The 18215-nt window shown below is 35.9% G+C and overlaps 1 protein-coding gene across 9 annotated transcripts in view, besides 2 other annotated features; it reads left to right on the top strand.

Moving 5' to 3' along the window:
* TTC28 (tetratricopeptide repeat domain 28) overlaps positions 1-18215 on the top strand; it is a 701827-nt gene that overhangs the window by 95739 nt on the left and 587873 nt on the right. The window lies entirely within an intron of this gene.
* Positions 16687-16981: a silencer, noted in NCBI's record as "tiled region #11195; K562 Repressive non-DNase unmatched - State 23:Low". NCBI's record gives its function as "represses a minimal TATA promoter and a strong SV40 promoter by Sharpr-MPRA in K562 cells {active_cell/tissue: K562}" and the evidence as "EXISTENCE:reporter gene assay evidence [ECO:0000049][PMID:27701403]".
* Positions 16687-16981: an enhancer, noted in NCBI's record as "tiled region #11195; HepG2 Activating DNase matched - State 9:DNaseU". NCBI's record gives its function as "activates a minimal TATA promoter and a strong SV40 promoter by Sharpr-MPRA in HepG2 cells {active_cell/tissue: HepG2}" and the evidence as "EXISTENCE:reporter gene assay evidence [ECO:0000049][PMID:27701403]".

Raw genomic sequence — 18215 nt, 5'->3', positions numbered from 1 at the left:
AGGCTGAGGTAGGAGGATCGCTTGAGCCCAGGAGTTTCAGGCTGCAGTCAGCTGTCTATGATTGTGCCAAAAAAAAAAAAAAAAACAAAACAAAACAAAAACAAAACAAAAAAAAAACGGAGAAAGAGAGAAAATAATACATGATTGAGATAATTAGAATATATTTATAAGAATAACTAGTTTTTGGGGATTTTAACCTTGTGGTAAATAATACCTCAGACCTGGTATTGACCCATCTGCTTTTTTGGGTTTAAAAGAATTTTGCATGTATAAATGTTTTTGCTAAGTTGAAAGAGATATTTTTATTCTTATATTCTGTAAATAGTCATCTCCAGTCTTCAGATTTATTTTCTGCTCAGCTTATAGTCAAGAATTTTGTTAACTGTTTTACTCCTATCTGTGTAAGTTATTAATGCTGTGATTTTTTTAAAGCTCCTGGATATTAATGTTTTAAGTTCCTGAACTTCTGCAAGATGGTCCATATTGAAAGAAGCAGCTGTAAAATACAGATGCTGACAAGCAGAAAAACAAAGAGATTTTCACAAGGAATTATGGGTATTTAATGTAACTCTTTAGTTCACAGTTCCATAAAACTGTGTTGTTTTCTTAGTACTACATTCTGTCTTAACCTTCTGTTGTATTGCACAGCTGATTTTAAGGAAGAATGAATTGTTAGTCATTTGCTTTTTATCCGGCATTTTAACTTTCAGTCCTCAGCAGGAATTCTACTGTCCCAGTGCAATTTATTTTATTTAAAGCAATATTGTACACATTTATAACTTTTACTTAATTCTTGAAGAAAAAATTTCAGTTTCTATTTATCCTGCTTATGAAAATGAAAATGAATCACAAATTATAAGTGACATCAATCTTTTTTATGATGTCCTCATTTTTTTAAAAAATGATTTTATAAAATGAGAAAAATACTGAAATGCTGTAGAGGAAGAAAGGGAGAAGAGGTGGTTGCATTGCGGGGGTGGGTAGAGAGGCAGGCATTGAGATCGCTAGGCAACAGGCTGTGAGAAATGCAGCATTTCTCATTTGTGTCGTCATGTAACTATGGAAGAACCACCATCTAGCCTAACCTGGTATTTCTTTTTAATCAAGTCCAGCTGTTGATCATGTGAACACACTCTTTCCTCTGGGTATTAAGGGTGTGTTTCTTCCTTTCCTATGGTATCTTAAATGGCTACTGACATATCACCTGGAATGTACCCATGTGCTGTAGGAACCCCCATTATACTGATCATTTCTCATTATGAATCACAAGTAAAATGTTTACCCCAAGTTGCATATAAAAACTTTAAAACAAAGAATGTGACTTGACCACATAAGTATTTTTTTTTGTTTTTAATGAATAGAGTTCTTGTTTTTAATTTGATGAGCAGGGAACTTTCCAACTCTAACCCTTCTTTACAGTCTGTCTTTAATTTGCAAAAAAGATGCATTCCAATTTTTCAGACATAAAACTGTTTAATGGATTTTTTTGAGATTCGTTAGTTTTCTAGTCATGTTAGGTTACCCTGAAATTTAGCATATATCATTTCATGGATTTCAATCTCCTTTTCTCATTTTAATGTTTATATTTACTATTTTGATATTAAAAAATAATTAGGTGGTGTCTTTAGTCCTCCTTAAGTAATACACAGTTGCAGCTGTTAGACTGTTTTTATACAGTACTGTTACCAGCCATGTCTTCCTTGAAAGAAATATGAATTTTCAACATCTTGGATTATTTAGTTCATTTTACTTATCCTCTGTGAGACATAATCTATGTGTAATTTTAAAGTTGTTCTGTTTAAGCTCTACTATGTCTTCTTGGTGGCACTAAGAAATAAATATTTTTGCTTCTGCGTTTTGGGATCTTCTTCTCCCTATCACCCCTTAATGCTGTAGCAATATTTAAGGCATTCTAAGTTCCAGCACTAGACAGAGCTTGGTCAGTTAATCATCCCAATATATTCTGGTAAGATAAATTTGAAAACATGTATAGTAATCGTCTATTATTATCTAAGAAAAATGTTTGATAATTATAGGTATGAATTTTTGCTTTATAGGTCATAAAATTATTATAGTAATGTTGCTTTTTTTCAAAAAAGGAAACCACTTAATAATATTTTGAGATAAAACATTGTGCTTGCCAAAGTGTTCCAAATAATACACTGTTTCAAAAGTCTATAAAGTCCTTAACTTTAAGGCCTTGTATTAGATATTTGATATACCACATATATCCATGTATCGTTTACAAGCTTACAGATATATGATTTATTTGTAAGATTATGCCAAGTAACATAGATACATATGAAAAAAGCCATATTACAAAAGGAAGAAATGTTCTTTTGTTTGTTCGTTTGTAGAGATGGGGTCTCACCAGCCTAGGCTGGTCTTGAACTCCTGGGCTCAAGCAATCTTCCCATCTTGGCCTCCCAAAGAGGGAAGAAATATTCTTGCAATGATATCTGTAGATAAAAATTGTTGAATTCTATTTATTAGTGGAATCATGCTCCTAACTTGATTGAAATTTCAAATTGTATGTATGTGTTTGACATTTACTCATGATAATTACCTCCCTTAAATACTTCCATTACTTTAGACTTTTCTTCACTGAATTAAAATGTATTATTTATCCTTTGGAATCTCCTAATATTAGTTCATTACTACATCCCTATTTTGTGACATTATAGGGTGTATTATCTCAAAGGATGTCGTGTTAGTCTATTCTCACACTGCTATAAAATACCTAACGCTGGGTAATTTATAAAGAAAAGAGGTTGGTTCTTCCGGCTTTACGGGTACTGTGGCTGGGGAGGCCTCAGGAAACTTAGAATCATAGCAGAAGGTGAAGGGGAAGCAGACACATCTTAAATGGCTGGAACAGGAGGAAGAGAGAGTGAAGGGGAAGTGCTACACATTTTTAAACCAGATCTCGTGAGTACTCACTCACTATCACAAGAACAACAAGGGGGAAATCTGCCCCCTTGATCCAGTTACCTCGCATGAGGACCGTCCTCTTAACATTTGGGGATTAGAATTCAACATGAGATTTGCGTGGAGACACAAATCCAAACCATATTGGATGTATAAAATTATTAAAATTAATTTTACTTTATTTTTTATAAATATATTTTTCTTAAGGAAGAGAGGCTTTGCAAAGTCAAATAATAATAGAATGAGAGTATTTGATTTAAATAAATATTGATTTTCATTTAGTCTCAAAGGATATAGTTTGAAACTTCTGAGATTTTAACTTTCTGAGACAGCCTTTGCTGTACTTTCAGAATGAGATAGATAGCTGAAATCTGAAGAGTCAGTGGTTTTCTCCCAAAAATCAGATTTTATGAATTACTTTAGGAATTAATACCAGATTTGTCAAACAAAAGCAAATAGATTCAGATAAAAATAATTATAATTCTACATTCAGTAGGAAGAATATTTAATTCTAGATTTTGCATAGTGTTTAGTATCTTACTGGTATTTGGTAAATATTTTTATAATTTCTCTAGTAAATGCTTACTTTAAATATAGCTATGTTTGAAATTTGTGTAAAAAAAACAAAAATTAGTTGGCCAGATGTGGTGGCTCATGCCTGTAATCCCTGCACTTTGGGAGGCCAAGGCAGGTGGATCACCTGAGGTCAGGAGTTTGAGACCAGCCTGGGCAACATAGTGAGACCCTGCCTCTATTTTAATTAAAGTTTAAAAAAATACAACTAAAAATTAGTTCTAAGCAGACAGATAAATTCATGGGACTCATGAAAAAGTAAATTAAAAATACCATAAAGGGCATCTTTGTAGGGAGGTAAGGGAGATAGTAAAAGATGGTATGGTACCTTAATAAGATTTGAAGAATCATATTATAAGACACAACCCTATAATGAGAAAATTAGGAAGGTGCAGTTATCCACTCAGCCTGTTTAATCACCTGTTATTTGACAGAGAAGGAATAATAAGTCAATAACTACCTTCAGGTTGGGTAGAGTGCCCCTTCTTTATGTTTACTTATTTCCCTGTATGTGTCCTTATTGCTGACTTTATCAACACAATACATTGAAATAATCTGTTTATCTAGTTTTATATATATGTGTGTATGTGTGTGTGTATGTGTGTGTGTGTGTATAATTTTTTTTTGTTTTGAGACAGGGTCGCACTTTGTCACTCAGGCTGGAGTGCAGTGGCGCGATCTTGGCTCACCGCAACTTCTGTCTCCGGGGTTCAAGTGGTTCTTCCATCTCAGCTTCCTGAGTAGCTGGGACTACAGGTGTGTGCCACCATGCCTGGCTAATTTTTGTATTTTTTGGTAGAGATGGGCTTTCACTATGTTGGCCAGGCTGGTCTTGAACTCCTGACCTCAAGTGATCTGCTCCCCCTTGGCCTCCCAAAGTGCTGGGATTATAGGCGTGAGCCACTGTGCTCAGCCCTTCGGTTTTTTTTGGGTGTGTATATATGTGTATTTATACACACACACACACACACACATTTGTATATGTGACTATATAATTTTTTCGTGTATATATATATATACACACACATGCATTTGTATATGTGACTATATATTGATAAATGAATATATAGTTATATATAACTATACATATAACTATATATAACTATACATATAACTATATATAATTAGTAATATGTAGCTATGTATATAGTTATACGTATATATACACTATATATAGCTATACATATGTATGTATAGTTATATATGTATATAGCTATGTATACTATATATGTAGTCATATGTATAGTTATGTATATAGCTATACATATGTATGAATAGCTATATACATACATGCACATATATAGCTATATACGTATATGGTTATATACGTATATAGCTATACTTACATATAGCTATACATATCTATGTGTAGCTACATGTGTATGTATGTATGTGTATATATAATGTATGTATATATAACTATACATACGTGTAGCTGTATGTATGTATAGCTATATACATATATGGCTATATGTATGTATGTATAGCTATATACATATATATAGCTATATGTATGTATGTATAGCTATATACACGTAACTAAACATATAACTACATATATAGCTATATAGTATATATACATATATGTACTTGCATATATATGTTTGCCCAGGAATTGCAGCCCTTGTGGCCTATACTGCCTTTCAAGTTTAGGATCCCAGAGCCCTTTAGCCCATAGTAGTGAGGCTTGCTGGAACTCTGGTTCCAATAGCTGGGATAGACAATTTGCCTCTGACTAGGGCTGGTCTAAATGTTTCTTCCATGGACACTGGCTGAGTTCTGCCCCGTGTTGCTTTCCAATGTAACAGGGTAGCACTGAGTTTCAATGTAAAGTTCCACAATAACTGCACTCTCCCTTCCCCCAAAACACATTTTCTCTCCATGCTACGTGGGCACTGCCAGGGGATAAGGGAAGGGTGGTGTAGGCAATTCAGGACTGTCTTTCCTATCCTCTTCAGTACCTTTTTCCTTAATATGATGTTAAAACCAGATACTGGACTGCCCATCTGATTTTTGGTTCTTATAAAGGTGATTTTTTGTTTGAATAGTTGTTCAGTTTGGTGTTCCTGTAGTGGTGGGGGTTGGAGGGGTGGATCACTGGAGGTTTCTATTCAGCCATCTTGCTCCCTCCTTTAGTTCTTGTTTCTTTTTAATTTTAATTAAATAATTTGTTCAGTTCAACAACTACTGAGAACATATTGTATGCCAGTGGTGTAAACTACTCATATTTTCAGTAGAAAGACTAAAAGATAAACCTATCAAAAATAATAGCTACAACTTTTCAAGACATAGTATAATAAGATATAAACAACAAAAGTTAAAAATTGAGGAACTGAAGTGTAGAGTTTTCAATAGTTTTCTCTTTGCTTATTTATTTGTATGTTCATGCAATCAGTGTCATCAGTTTAAAATAATGGGTTATAAGATATTATTTGCAAGCCTTATGGTAACCTCAAATAAAAAAATATACAGTAGATCACAATAAATAAAAAGCAGGAAGTTAAAAAGTATCACCTGAGGAAATCACCGTCACTTAAAGGAAAATAGGAAGGAAGGAAAGAAGGAAGAGAAGACCACAAAACAACCAGAAAACACATAAAATAGCAGGAGTAAGTCCTTAGTTATCAATAATAACATTGAACACAAATTGACTAAGCACTCCAATCAAAAGTCATAGGGTGGATGAATGGATAAAAAACAAGACACCATCATCTGTTACCTACAAGAAACACACTTCACCTATAAAGACACACATAACTGAAAATAAAGGGATGGAAAAAGATACTCCATGCAAATGGAAACCAAAAAAGAGCAGGAATAGCTATATTTATATCAGACAAAGTAGATTTCAAGACAAAAACTATAAAAAGAGACAAAGGAGGTCATTATTTAATAATAAAGAGGTCAGTTCAGCAAGAGGATATAGCAGTTGTAAATATATATATACCCAACACTGGGGCATGCAGATATATAAAGAAAATATTATAACTGAAGAGAGAGAGAGATCCCAATACAGTAATGGCTAGAGACTTCATCACCTCACTTTCAGCATTGGACAGATCATCCAGACAGAAAATCCACAAATAAACATTGGACTTCATCTACACTGTAGACCAAATGGACCTAATAGGTATTTACAGAACATTTCACCCAGTGTCTACAGAATACACATTTTTCTCAGCACATGGATCGTTCTCAGGGATAGACTGTATGTTAGGCTACAAAACAAGTCTTACAACATTCAAAAAAATTGAAATAATCTCAAGTATCTTCTCTGAGCACAATGGAATAAAACTGGAAATCAATAGTGAGGAATTTTGGAAACTGTAGAAATACATGGAAATTAAATACTGTGTTCCTGAATGACCAGTGGGTCAATAAAAAATTAAGAAAGAAATTAAAAAATTTCTCAAAACAAATGTGAAAATGGAAACACAGCATACCATTGTCTCTGGGATACAGCAAAAGCAGTAATAAGAGGAAACTTTATGGCAATAAGTGTCTACATCAAAAATTTAGAAAAACTTCAAATAAACAATCTAACAATGCATCTTTAACAACTAGAAAAGCAAGAGCAAACCAAACCAGAATTAGTAGAAGAAAAGAAATAATAAAGATCAGAGCAGAAATAAATGAAAGTGAAGTGAAAGAAATAATACAAAAGATCAACAAAATGAAAAGTTTTTTTTAAAGATAAAATCGACAAACCTTTAGCCAGACTAGGAAAAAAAGAGAGAAGACCCAAATAATAAAATCAGAGATGAAAAAGGAGACATTACATCTGATACTGCAGAAATTCAAAGGATTAGAGGCTACTATGAGCAACAGTATGCCAATACATTGGAAAACCTAAAAGAAATGTATAAATTCCTAGACACATATAGCCTACCAAGATTGAGCCATGAAGAAATTGAAAACCTGAACAGACCAATAACAAGGAACAAGATTGAAGCTGTAATAAAAAGTCTCCCTGCAAAGGAAACCCCAGGATCTGATGGCTTAACTGCTGAATTTTACCAAGCATTTAAAGAAGAACTAATACCAATCCTGATCAAACTATTTTGAAAAATAGAGGAGGAAGGAGTACTTCCAAACTCATTCTATGAGGCTAATATTACCACTACGAAAACTAGATAAAGGTTCATAAAACAAACAAACAAACCCTACAGAGTCACACCCCTGATGAACACTGATGCAAAAATCCTCACCCAAATACTTGCAAACCGAATGCAACAACACATTAAAAAGATCATTATGATGAAGTGAAATTTATCCCAGTGTTGCAAGAATGGTTTAACATATGCAAATGAATCAATGTGATATATCAACAGAACAAAGGCCGAAACCCATATGATTATTTCAACTTGCTGAAAAAGCATTTGATAAAACTCAACATCCCTTCATAATAAAAATACTAAAAAAAAAAACTGGGCATAGAAGGAATATAACACAATAAAAGCCATGTACAACAGAGCTACAGCTAGTATTACACGGAATGGGGAAAAATCGAAAGACTTTCATCTTAGATCTAGAACAGGAAAAGATGCCCACTTTCACCACTGTTATTCATCATAGTACTGGAAGTCCTAGCTATCAGACAAGAGAAAGAAATAAAAAGCATCCAAATTGGAAAGGAATAAGTCAAATTATCTGTTTTTACAGATGATGTGATTTTATATTTGGATAAACCTAAAGACACCACCAAAAACTATTAGAACTGATAAATTCAGTAAAGTTGCAGGATACAAAATAAACATACAAAAATCAGTAACATTTCAATATGCCAACAGCAAACAGTCTGAAAAAGCAATAAAAAAAGTAATCTCATTTGCAATAGCTACATATAATATACCTAGGAATAAACTTAACCAAAGAAGTGAAAGATCTCTACAATGAAAAGTGTAAAACACTGGTGAAAGAAACTGAAGAGGGCACAAAAAATTGGAATGATATTCCATGTACATGGATTGGAAGAATCAATATTGTTAAAACATCCATACTACCTAAAGCAGTCTACATATTCAGTGCAATCTCTTTCGAAATAACAATCACATTCTTCACAGAAATAGAAAAAATACTCCTAAAATTTATATGGAACCACAAAAGACCCAGAATAGCCAAAGCTGCCCTAAGCAAAAAGAACAAAACTGGAGGACTTCAAATTATACTACAGAGCCATAGTAACCAAAATAGCATGGTACTGGCCTAAAAACAAACACATAGACCAATGGAACAGAATAGGGAGCGTAGAAACAAATCCGTACATCTGCAGTGAACTCATTTTTGACAAAGGTGCCAAGAACATACATTGGGGAAAAAGATACTCTTCAATAAATGGAGCTCAGAAAACTGGATATCCATATGGAGAAGGATGAAACTAGACCCTTATCTCTTGCCACAAAAACCAAATCAAAATGGATTGAAGACTTAAATCTAAGACCTCAAACTATGAAACTACTAAAAGAAAACATTGGGAGAAACTCTCTAGGACATTGGAGTGGGCAAATATTTCTTCAGTAATACTCCATAAGCCCAGACAATCAAAGTAAAAATGGACAAATGGGATCACATCAAGTTAAAAGCTTCTGCACAGCAAAGGAAACAATCTAGAAAGTGAAGAGACAGCCCACAGAGTGGGAGAAGATATTTGCAAACTATCCATCTGACAAGGGATTAACAATCAGAATATATAAGGAGCTCAAACAACTCTATGGGAAAAAAATCTAGTAATCTGAATTAAAAATGGGCAAACAATCTGAATAGATATTTCTGAAAAGAAGACATACAAATGGCAAAAAGGCATATGAGAAGCTGTTCAACATCATTGTTTATCAGAAAAATGCAAATCAAAATTACAATGAGCTATCATTTCACCCCAGTAAAAATGGCTTTTATCCAAAAGACAATCAATAACAAATGCTGTTGAGTATATGGAGAAAAGGGAACTCGCATACACCGTTTGTGGGAATGTAAATTAGTAAAACTGCTTTGGACAACAGTTTGGAACTTCCTCAAAAAGCTAAAAATAGAATTGCCATATGATATAGCAATGCCATTGCTAGGTATACACCCAGAAGAAAGGAAATCAGTATATCAAAAACATAGCTGCACTCCGGTATTTATTGCAGCACCATTTACAGTAGCCAAGATTTGGAAGCAACCTAAATGTTCATCAACAGATGAATGGATAAAGAAAATGTGGAACACACACACACTCACACACAACACACACACACACACACACACAAACAGTGGAGTACTATTCGGCCACAAAAAAGAATGAGATCCTGGCTGGGCATAGTGGCTCATGCCTGTAATCCCAGCACCCTGGGAGGCTGAAGCAGGTGGATCACTTGAGCCAAGGAGATTGAGATCAGCCTGGGCAACATAGTGAAATCCTGTCTCAAAAAAATACAAAAGTTAGCTGGGTATGGTGGTGCACGTCTGTGGTCTTAGCTACTTGGGAGGCTGACATGGGAGGATCACCTGAGCCTGGGGAGGTTGAGGCTGCAGTAAGCTATGATTGTGCCACTGTACTCCAGCCTGGGTGACAGAGTGGGACTCTGTTAAAAAAGAGATCTTGTCATTTGCAACAACGTGAATAGGACTGGAGCTTATGTTAAGTGAAATAAGCCAGACAAAGACACACTTTGCATCTTCTCACTTATTTATGGGAGCTAAAAACATTAAAACAATTGAACTCACAGAGATAGAGTAGAATGATGGTTACCAGAGGCTGAGAAAGGTAGTGGGGGTGGGGGGAAGTGGGAATGGTTAAAGGGTACACAAATATAATTAAATAAAATGAGTAAGATCTAGTATTTGATAGCACGACAGGTGACTACAGTCAACAATAATTTACTGTACATTTAAAAGTAACTAAAAGAATATAATTAGATTGTTTGTAACACAAAGAAAGGATACATGCTTGAGGTGATGTAGATACCCCATTTACCCTGCTGTGATTATTACGCATTATATGCCTATATCAAAATATCTCATGTATCTGTAAATATATATACCTACTATGTACCCATAAAAATTGAAAAAAATTACTGTTCACAAGTCTCACATTAATTTCAATGCATTTTTCTGTTCTTTATTGCTTCTCTTATTTATTTATTATTATTATTATTTTTTATTTTTTTGAGACAGAATCTCGCTCTGTCGCCAGGCTGGAGTGCAGTGGCGCGATCACGGCTCACTGCAACCTCTGCCTCCCAAGTTCAAGTGATTCTCCTGCCTCAGCCTCCCCGAGTAGCTGGGACTACACGCATGCCACCACACTGGGCTAATTTTTGTATTTTTAGTAGAGATGGGGTTTCATCATGTTGGCCAGGATGGTCTTGATCTTCTGACCCTGTGATCCGCCCACCTCAGCCTCCCAAAGTGCTGGGATTACAGGCATGAGCCCCCACGCCTGGCCTGTTTCTGTTTTTTATAAGATTAATTTCCCTGTACTTGTTTTTTTTTTTTTTTGAGACATGGTCTCACTCTGTCACCCAGGCTGGAGTGCAGTGATGCAATCACTGCTCACTGCAACCTTGACCTCCCAGGCTCAAGTGATCCTCCCACCTCAGCCTCCCAAGTAGCTGGGCTAATTTTTTAACTTTTTGTAGACATAGGGTCTCCCTGTGTTGCTCAGGCTGGTCTGAGACTCATGGCCTCAAGCAATCCTCCCACTTTGGCCTCCTAAATTATTGGGATTACAGGTGTAAGCCACTGCACCTGGCCTCCCTTTACTTTTTGTGAAGCATTACATAACTGTACATAAAACTTATAGGCATAGCTTTAAACGTTAATCACCAAGTGGACAGTTTTGTAACCAATCCCAAAACGAAATAGAATATTGCCAATTCCTTAGATGCTCTGTTCTTCCCCACACATCTCACTCCCCTAATAAGTTAAATAGTTCTTATGTTTGTAATAAAACATTCTCTTATTTTTCTTTATAGTTTTGCCATCTAGCTATATGTAGATTCCCTAAAAAATGTATTAATATTACCTGCTTCTGCCTGTTTTCAAAATTTTTTAATAAATTGAATGATCCTCTAAGTGTTCTTCTGAGACTTCCATCTTTAGGTCAGGGCCATGTTTAATATTCATCTACTTTGATGATATAGTCATAATTTGTTCATTTTCAATCCTTTATAGAATTCAACTGACATAGATATACTATAATTTATGTAATTTCAACATTTATATTGTTTACATAGTTTTTCCTATTACGAACAATGCTGTCATGAATATTCTCAGTGTTGCTATGAGCAATTCTTTTTTTAGACAGTGTCGCTCTGTTGGTGCAATCTCAGCTCACTGCAACTTCTGCCTCCTGGGTTCAAGGGATTCTCGTGCCTCAGCCTCCCCAGTAACTGGGACTTTGTCGTGCACCACCATGCCTGGCTATTTTTTTTTTTTTTTGTATTTTCAGTAGAGATGGGGTTTCATCATGTTGGCTAGGCAGTTCTCCAACTCCTGGCCTCAAGTGATCTGCCTTCCTCAACCTCCCAAAGTGTTGGGATTACAGGCATGAGCTACCGCTCTGGGCTGAGCAATTCTTTATACAATGAGTTTCTCTTGAAGTTAAGTTGCTGGGTGGCAGAGTATACATTATCGGTTTTTTTTTTGTTTGTTTTTTTTTTTTTTTTTTTGAAATGGAGTCTCGCTCTTGTTGCCCAGGCTGGAGTGCAATGGCGTGATCTCAGCTCACTGCAACCCTCTGCCTCCCGGGTTCAAGCTATTTTCCTGCCTCAGCCTCCCAAGTAGCTGGGACTACAGGCATGTTCCACCACACCCGGCTAATTTTGTATTTTCAGTGGAGATGGGGTTTCACCATGTTTGTCAGGCTGGCCTCGAACTCCTGACCTCAGGTGATTCACCTGCCCTTGGCCTCCCAAAGTGTTGGGATTACAGGCATGAACCACCGTGCCCAGCCTGAGTATACATTATGTTAACCGTTACTACATAATATGAAATTATGTTTCAAAGATTTGTTTCAGATTATCCTGCTGCCCTTCAGGATAAATTAGAGAGTTCTTATTGCTGTACATTCTTGTCAGCACTTGGTTATCACAATTTAAATTATTTGCCAATCAGATGAGTTGCAGTGCATTTTTAACTACTTAAACCTCTAATATTTATGGTGGGGTCTTGATTTGAGAGCAAAGTAAATTCTTAATTTTTAAACATATTCTTAATAATTTGTCTTTTCTGAATTATAAATTCTGAATTGGTGGTATCTGAATTGTTAATGGAAATACAATAGAGAGTTTGTGTAATTTCATGTGTAATTATTTAGATTGTTTCTCTCTGTGAGAATAGATATACACAGCTTCAGTTATGATGTAGAAAATTTAGTCGGGTAGAAGTGGTGCCGAAGATTTACTCAGCAAAGATTTACTTTGCTTAATTTGGCAACTGTTCAAAATTCCACATAGCCTCATATACTTGGCACTGAGGAATAGGCATAAATGTATTTTTATGAGCATTGACCTATTCAGGACATATGCTTTCCTCAGATGTTAAACATACTATCATTTTGTGTGTTGTACTTTAATTAAAGGACAAATTAAAGAGTAGTCTAAAATCTTACAGTCAGGAAAAAAAAATGCCAGCTTTAAAATTTCCTTATTTGTTTCTTAAATTTACTTTTCATTTTTATCAAAGTTAAGCAAATACAAAGGCTCAAGGAATTCCCACACTCCTCTGTAGTGCCTTGTATCTCCTTGACCTCCCATTAACCATCTAGCTTTCTTGATCTTTCGAGGCAACAAGGCTCAACTTTTTTAGCATTTTGTTTGGAACTTACCTTCCATATGCTTTTACTGTTACTTTTTGATTTTATTGTAAAATATACATAACATAAAATATGTCATTTTAACCATTAAAAGTTTTTTTCTTTCCAACTTTTATTTTAGGATTGGGGGTACATGTTACATGGGTAAATTACATGTCACATTGCTTTGGTTTACAGATTATTTCATCACCTAGGTAATAAACATAGCACCCAATAGGTAGTTTTCTGATCCTCACTCTCCTCCCACCCTCAAACCTCAAGCAGGCCCCAGTGTCTGTTGTTCCCTTCTTTGTGTTCATGTGTATTCAGTGTTTAGCTCCCACTTATACATGAGAACACGTGGTATTTGGTTTTCTGTTCCTGCTTAGAATGATGGCCTCCAGCTCCATCCATGTTGCTGCAGAGGGCATGATTTCATTCTTTTTTTAAGGCTGCATAGTATACCATGGTGTATGGAATTTATATTTTCTTTATCTTGTCCACCATTGATGGGCATCTAGGTTGATTCCATATCTTTGCTATTGTGAACAGTGCTGCAGTGAACATACATGTGCATGTGTCTTTATGTTAGAATTTTGAATTCCTTTAGTTATATACCCAGTCATGGGATTGCTGTGTTGAATAGTAGTTCTATTTTAAGTTATTTGAGAAATCTCCAAACTGCTTTGCATAGTGCCTGAACTATTAATAATTTACATACCCATTAACTATGTTAATCATTCCCTTTTCTCTGCAGCCTCGTCAACGTCTGTTATGTTTTGACTTTTTAATAATAGCCATTCTGACTGGTGTGAGATGGTATCTCACTGTGGTTTTGATTTGCATTTCTCTAATGATCAGTGATGTTGAGCATTTTTTAATATGCTTGTTGGTCACGTATATGTCTTCTTTCGAAAAGTGTCTGTTCATGTCCTCTGCCCATTTTTAAATGAGGTTGGTTGTTGCTTGTTGATTTAAGTTCCTTATAGATCTTAGACATTAGGCCATTGTTAGATGCATAGTTTGCAAACATTTTCTCCCATTCTGTAGGTTGTGTGTTTACTCTATTGATAGTTTCTTTTACTGTGCAGAAGCTCCTTAGTTTAATTAGGTCCCACTTGCCAATTTTTTGCTTTTGTTGCAATTGCTTTTGGAGTCTTCATCATGAAATCTTTGCTAGGGCTGATGTCCAGAATGGTATTTCCTAGGTTTTTTTTTCTATGGGTTTTATAGTTTTAGGTTTTACATTTAAGTCTTTAATCCATCTTGAGTTGATTTTTGTATTTGGTGTAAGGAAGGGTTCCACTTTCAATCTTCTGCATATGACTAGCCAGTTACTGTAGCACCATTTATTGAATAGGGAGTCCTTTTCCCATTACTTGTTATTGTCATCTTTGTCTAAGATCAGATGGTTGTAGGTGTGTGGCTTTATTTCTGGATTCTCTAACCTGCTCCATTGTATATGTGTCTGTTTTTGTACCAGTATCATGTTGTTTGATATCATGTTGTTTTGGTTACTGTAGCCTTGTCGTATTGTTTGAAGCTGGGTAATGTCATTTGCCTGGCTCTGTTCTTTTTACTTGGGATTGTTTTGGCTATTCAGGCTCTTTTTTGGCTCCATGTGAATTTTATTTATTTATTTATTTATTTATTTATTTATTTATTTATTTATTTGAGACAGAACAGAGTCTCACTCTTGTTGCCCAGGCTGGAGTGCAGTGGCACAATCTCAGCTCACTGCAACCTCTGCCTCCTGGTTCAAGTGATTCTCCTGCCTCAGCCTCCCGGGTAGCAGGGATTACAGGTGTGCGCCACCATGCCTGTCTAATTTTTGTATTTTTAGTAGAGATGGGGTTTCACCATATTGGCAAGGCTGGTGTCGAACTCCTGACCTCAGGTGATCTGCTTGCCTTGGCCTCCCAAAGTGCTGGGATTACAGGCGTAAGTCACCGTGCCTGGCCCATGTGAATTTTAGAATAGGTGTTTTCTAATTCTGTGAAAAAGGTATTGATAGTTTGATAGGAATAGCATTAAATCTGTAAATTGCTTTGGGCAGTATGACCATTTTAACAGTATCGACTCTTATTCATGAGCATGGAATGTTTTTCCATTTATTTGTATCATCTCTAATTTTGTTCAGCATGTTTTGTCATTCTCATTGTAGAGCTCTTTTGCCTCCCTGGTTAGCTGTATTCCTTGGTATTTTATCCCATTTTGTGAATGGGATTGCATTCTTGATTTGGCTCTTAGCTAGGACATTATTAGTGTATAGAAATGCTGCTGATTTTTGAACATTGATTTTGTATCCTGAAACTTTGCTGAAGTTAGTTATCAGATCTAGGAGCCTTTAGACAGAGACTACAGGGTTTTGTGGGTATAGCATCATATCATCTGTGAAGAGAGATAGTTTGACTTCTCTTCCTATTTGTATGTCTTTTATTTCTTTCTCTTGTCTGATTGCTCTGGCTAGGACTTCCTTTTAACCATTTTAAAGTTTATGGGGCATTAACCATATTCACATTATTGTGCAACAATCACCACCTTTGCTGTTACTTCTTAAAGTGTTATCCAATGTCTTCCTGCAATGAAAGATGAGGATTTAACTCTTTTCCCCTTTTCTGGCACATATGCACACTTTCTGTACTTTCATTCTCCCAATGTAATTATATCATAATTCTTGTTAGAATTGTTTATATTAGTATTACTCTGAAAATGCAGTTCACAGCTGAATCATTTGGTATACCATGATAACTTTTCCTTTCTTGTAAAACCTTGTTTTCCCCTGAATTAATAATCATTCTTCCCCCTTTTTTGTTTTCTATGTATTTATCACAAATTCATTTTTAAATTGTTCCCCAATTATCTAAACTTCCCTCTCATTACATTTGAAACACGTTGAGTATTTTGTAAATGTCTTCTTGATGACACCTTTTCTGATTGGGTTTAATTAGGATTGAGCGCTCGTTCCCCTTATGCAGTTTTTCATCTTAAAATCTCCCTTCCTCATCAGTCTGAAAATTCCCTTTGCCTATGTTTTGCGTTGAATTCTGGTTTTTGATTCCATATCTTCTTCATTCTTTATTTATTCCCTTGTTTTGGTGGTATACTTTCTCAAGCAGCTTCCCGAGAAAGGGTGAATGGGAATGCCACAAGTCTGAAAAATACCTTTTTCTTCTGCCTAATTCTTGATAGTTTGACTTGTTATAGAATGCTAGGTTAGAAATAATTTTCCTTCAAATTTTGCTTGGTTTCTGCCTTGGTTGCCTTTTTTTCAATTGCAAGCTGTTCTGAATCCTAATCATTAATAGGTAAAAACATATATATATATATATATATATATATATATGTATGTATGTATATGCGTGTGGTGTGTGTGTGTATGTATATGTGTGTATATATGTGAGTGTGTATATATATATTTTTTTCTTTTTTTTTTTGAGACAGGGTCTTGCTGTGTCACTCAGGCTAGAGTGCAGTGGCACAATCATGACTCACTGCAACCTTGACCCCCTGAGCTCAATTGATCCTCTCACATCAGCCTCCTGAGTAGCTGGGATTGTAGGCATGTGTTACCATGCCTGGCTACTTTTTTTTTTTTTTTTTTTTTTCCGAGATGGAGTCTTGCTCTTGTCGCCCAAGCCAGAGTGCAATGGCACAATCTTGGCTCGCTGCAATCTCTGCCTTCCGGGTTCAAGCTATTCTCTTGCCTCAGCCTCCCAAGTAGCTGGGATTACAGGCGTCCGCCACCATGCCCGGCTAATTTTTGTATTTTTAGTAGAGATGGCATTTCGCCATGTTGACCAGGCTGGTCTCGAACTCCTGACCTCATGATCCGCCAGCCTTGGCCTCCCAAAGTGCTGGAGTTACAGGCGTGAGCCACTGCACCCAGCCTATATTTTTACCTTTTTAGAGATGGTGTCTCCCATGTTTCCGAGGCTGGTCTCGAACTCCTGGGCTCAAGCAGTCCTGCCACCTCAGCTTCCTAAAGTGCTGGTATTATAGGTGTGAGCCACTGCACCTGGCCAATATTTTCTGTTTTATCTTCCAGTCCTTTTATTGAGTTTATTTTTGCTTTCTTATTTCTGATTTTCAAGAACTTTTTTTCTCTTTGTTCTTTTTTTTATTTTTAAAATTACTCTCTTTGTTTTATTGATGCAGTGTCTTATCTGAGGATATTAATGATAGTATTTTAAAATCTTGATTGATGTTTAAAGGGAATGAAAGAGAAATCAATGAACTTATTGTTCATGTAGCACAGTTGAAAATTTCTCTTCGAGCATTCAAAGTTCAAAGAAAATATAGCTTCCTTATTTTTTGTAGTGGCTCTAATCTTTCACAAGCCTGTTACTCAGTTACAGTAGTGGTAGGCAAGGAGAGGCTTAAGGTATTAGCTTAAATTTGCCAGTTAACGTCTTTCTCATTAGGGAATTCAGCTTCTTTCAGGTATATGCTCAGTCTTTCGGGTATCCTCCCTTTCCTTTTCCCTCCACTGTGCCTCAGTATGCTGTTTTAACTGCTACAGGGTCGTCCCTATGTGATTTTGTGATGATGATAGAGTGTGTCTTGGAATTGTGGCCAGTCATTAAGGAGTATGTGCTCTACAAAGCTTCTCTAGTCTTGTCCTGAACTGTTTTGACTGCCTAAATGGAACTGGTTTCTCTGTCCCTTAGGAGCTTATAGAACTAATGGATTCTCTCTATATATGGAGGCCATACAAAAGCAGGGGTATTGACCCAAGCCCATTTGTTTCCTCTGCTAAGGCTGTTATTCCTCCCCCCAAACCATATTGTCCCAGGACCATCCTACATGATGGTCTAGATGCAGTGTTTCACATGTGGAGCTAGGCAAAACTCTCTCCTACTTTTGATTTTTCCCTTGTTTACCTACTAGGGATAAATGGAGTAAGCTTTCCACTTTCCCCCTGTGTTTGGAAGGTCCT

This window comes from Homo sapiens, chromosome 22 (assembly GCF_000001405.40).
Source record: "Homo sapiens chromosome 22, GRCh38.p14 Primary Assembly".
Lineage (NCBI taxonomy): Eukaryota > Metazoa > Chordata > Mammalia > Primates > Hominidae > Homo > Homo sapiens.
Note: the sequence above shows the minus strand (reverse complement) of the source record. Positions and strands in the feature narration are given on the sequence as shown.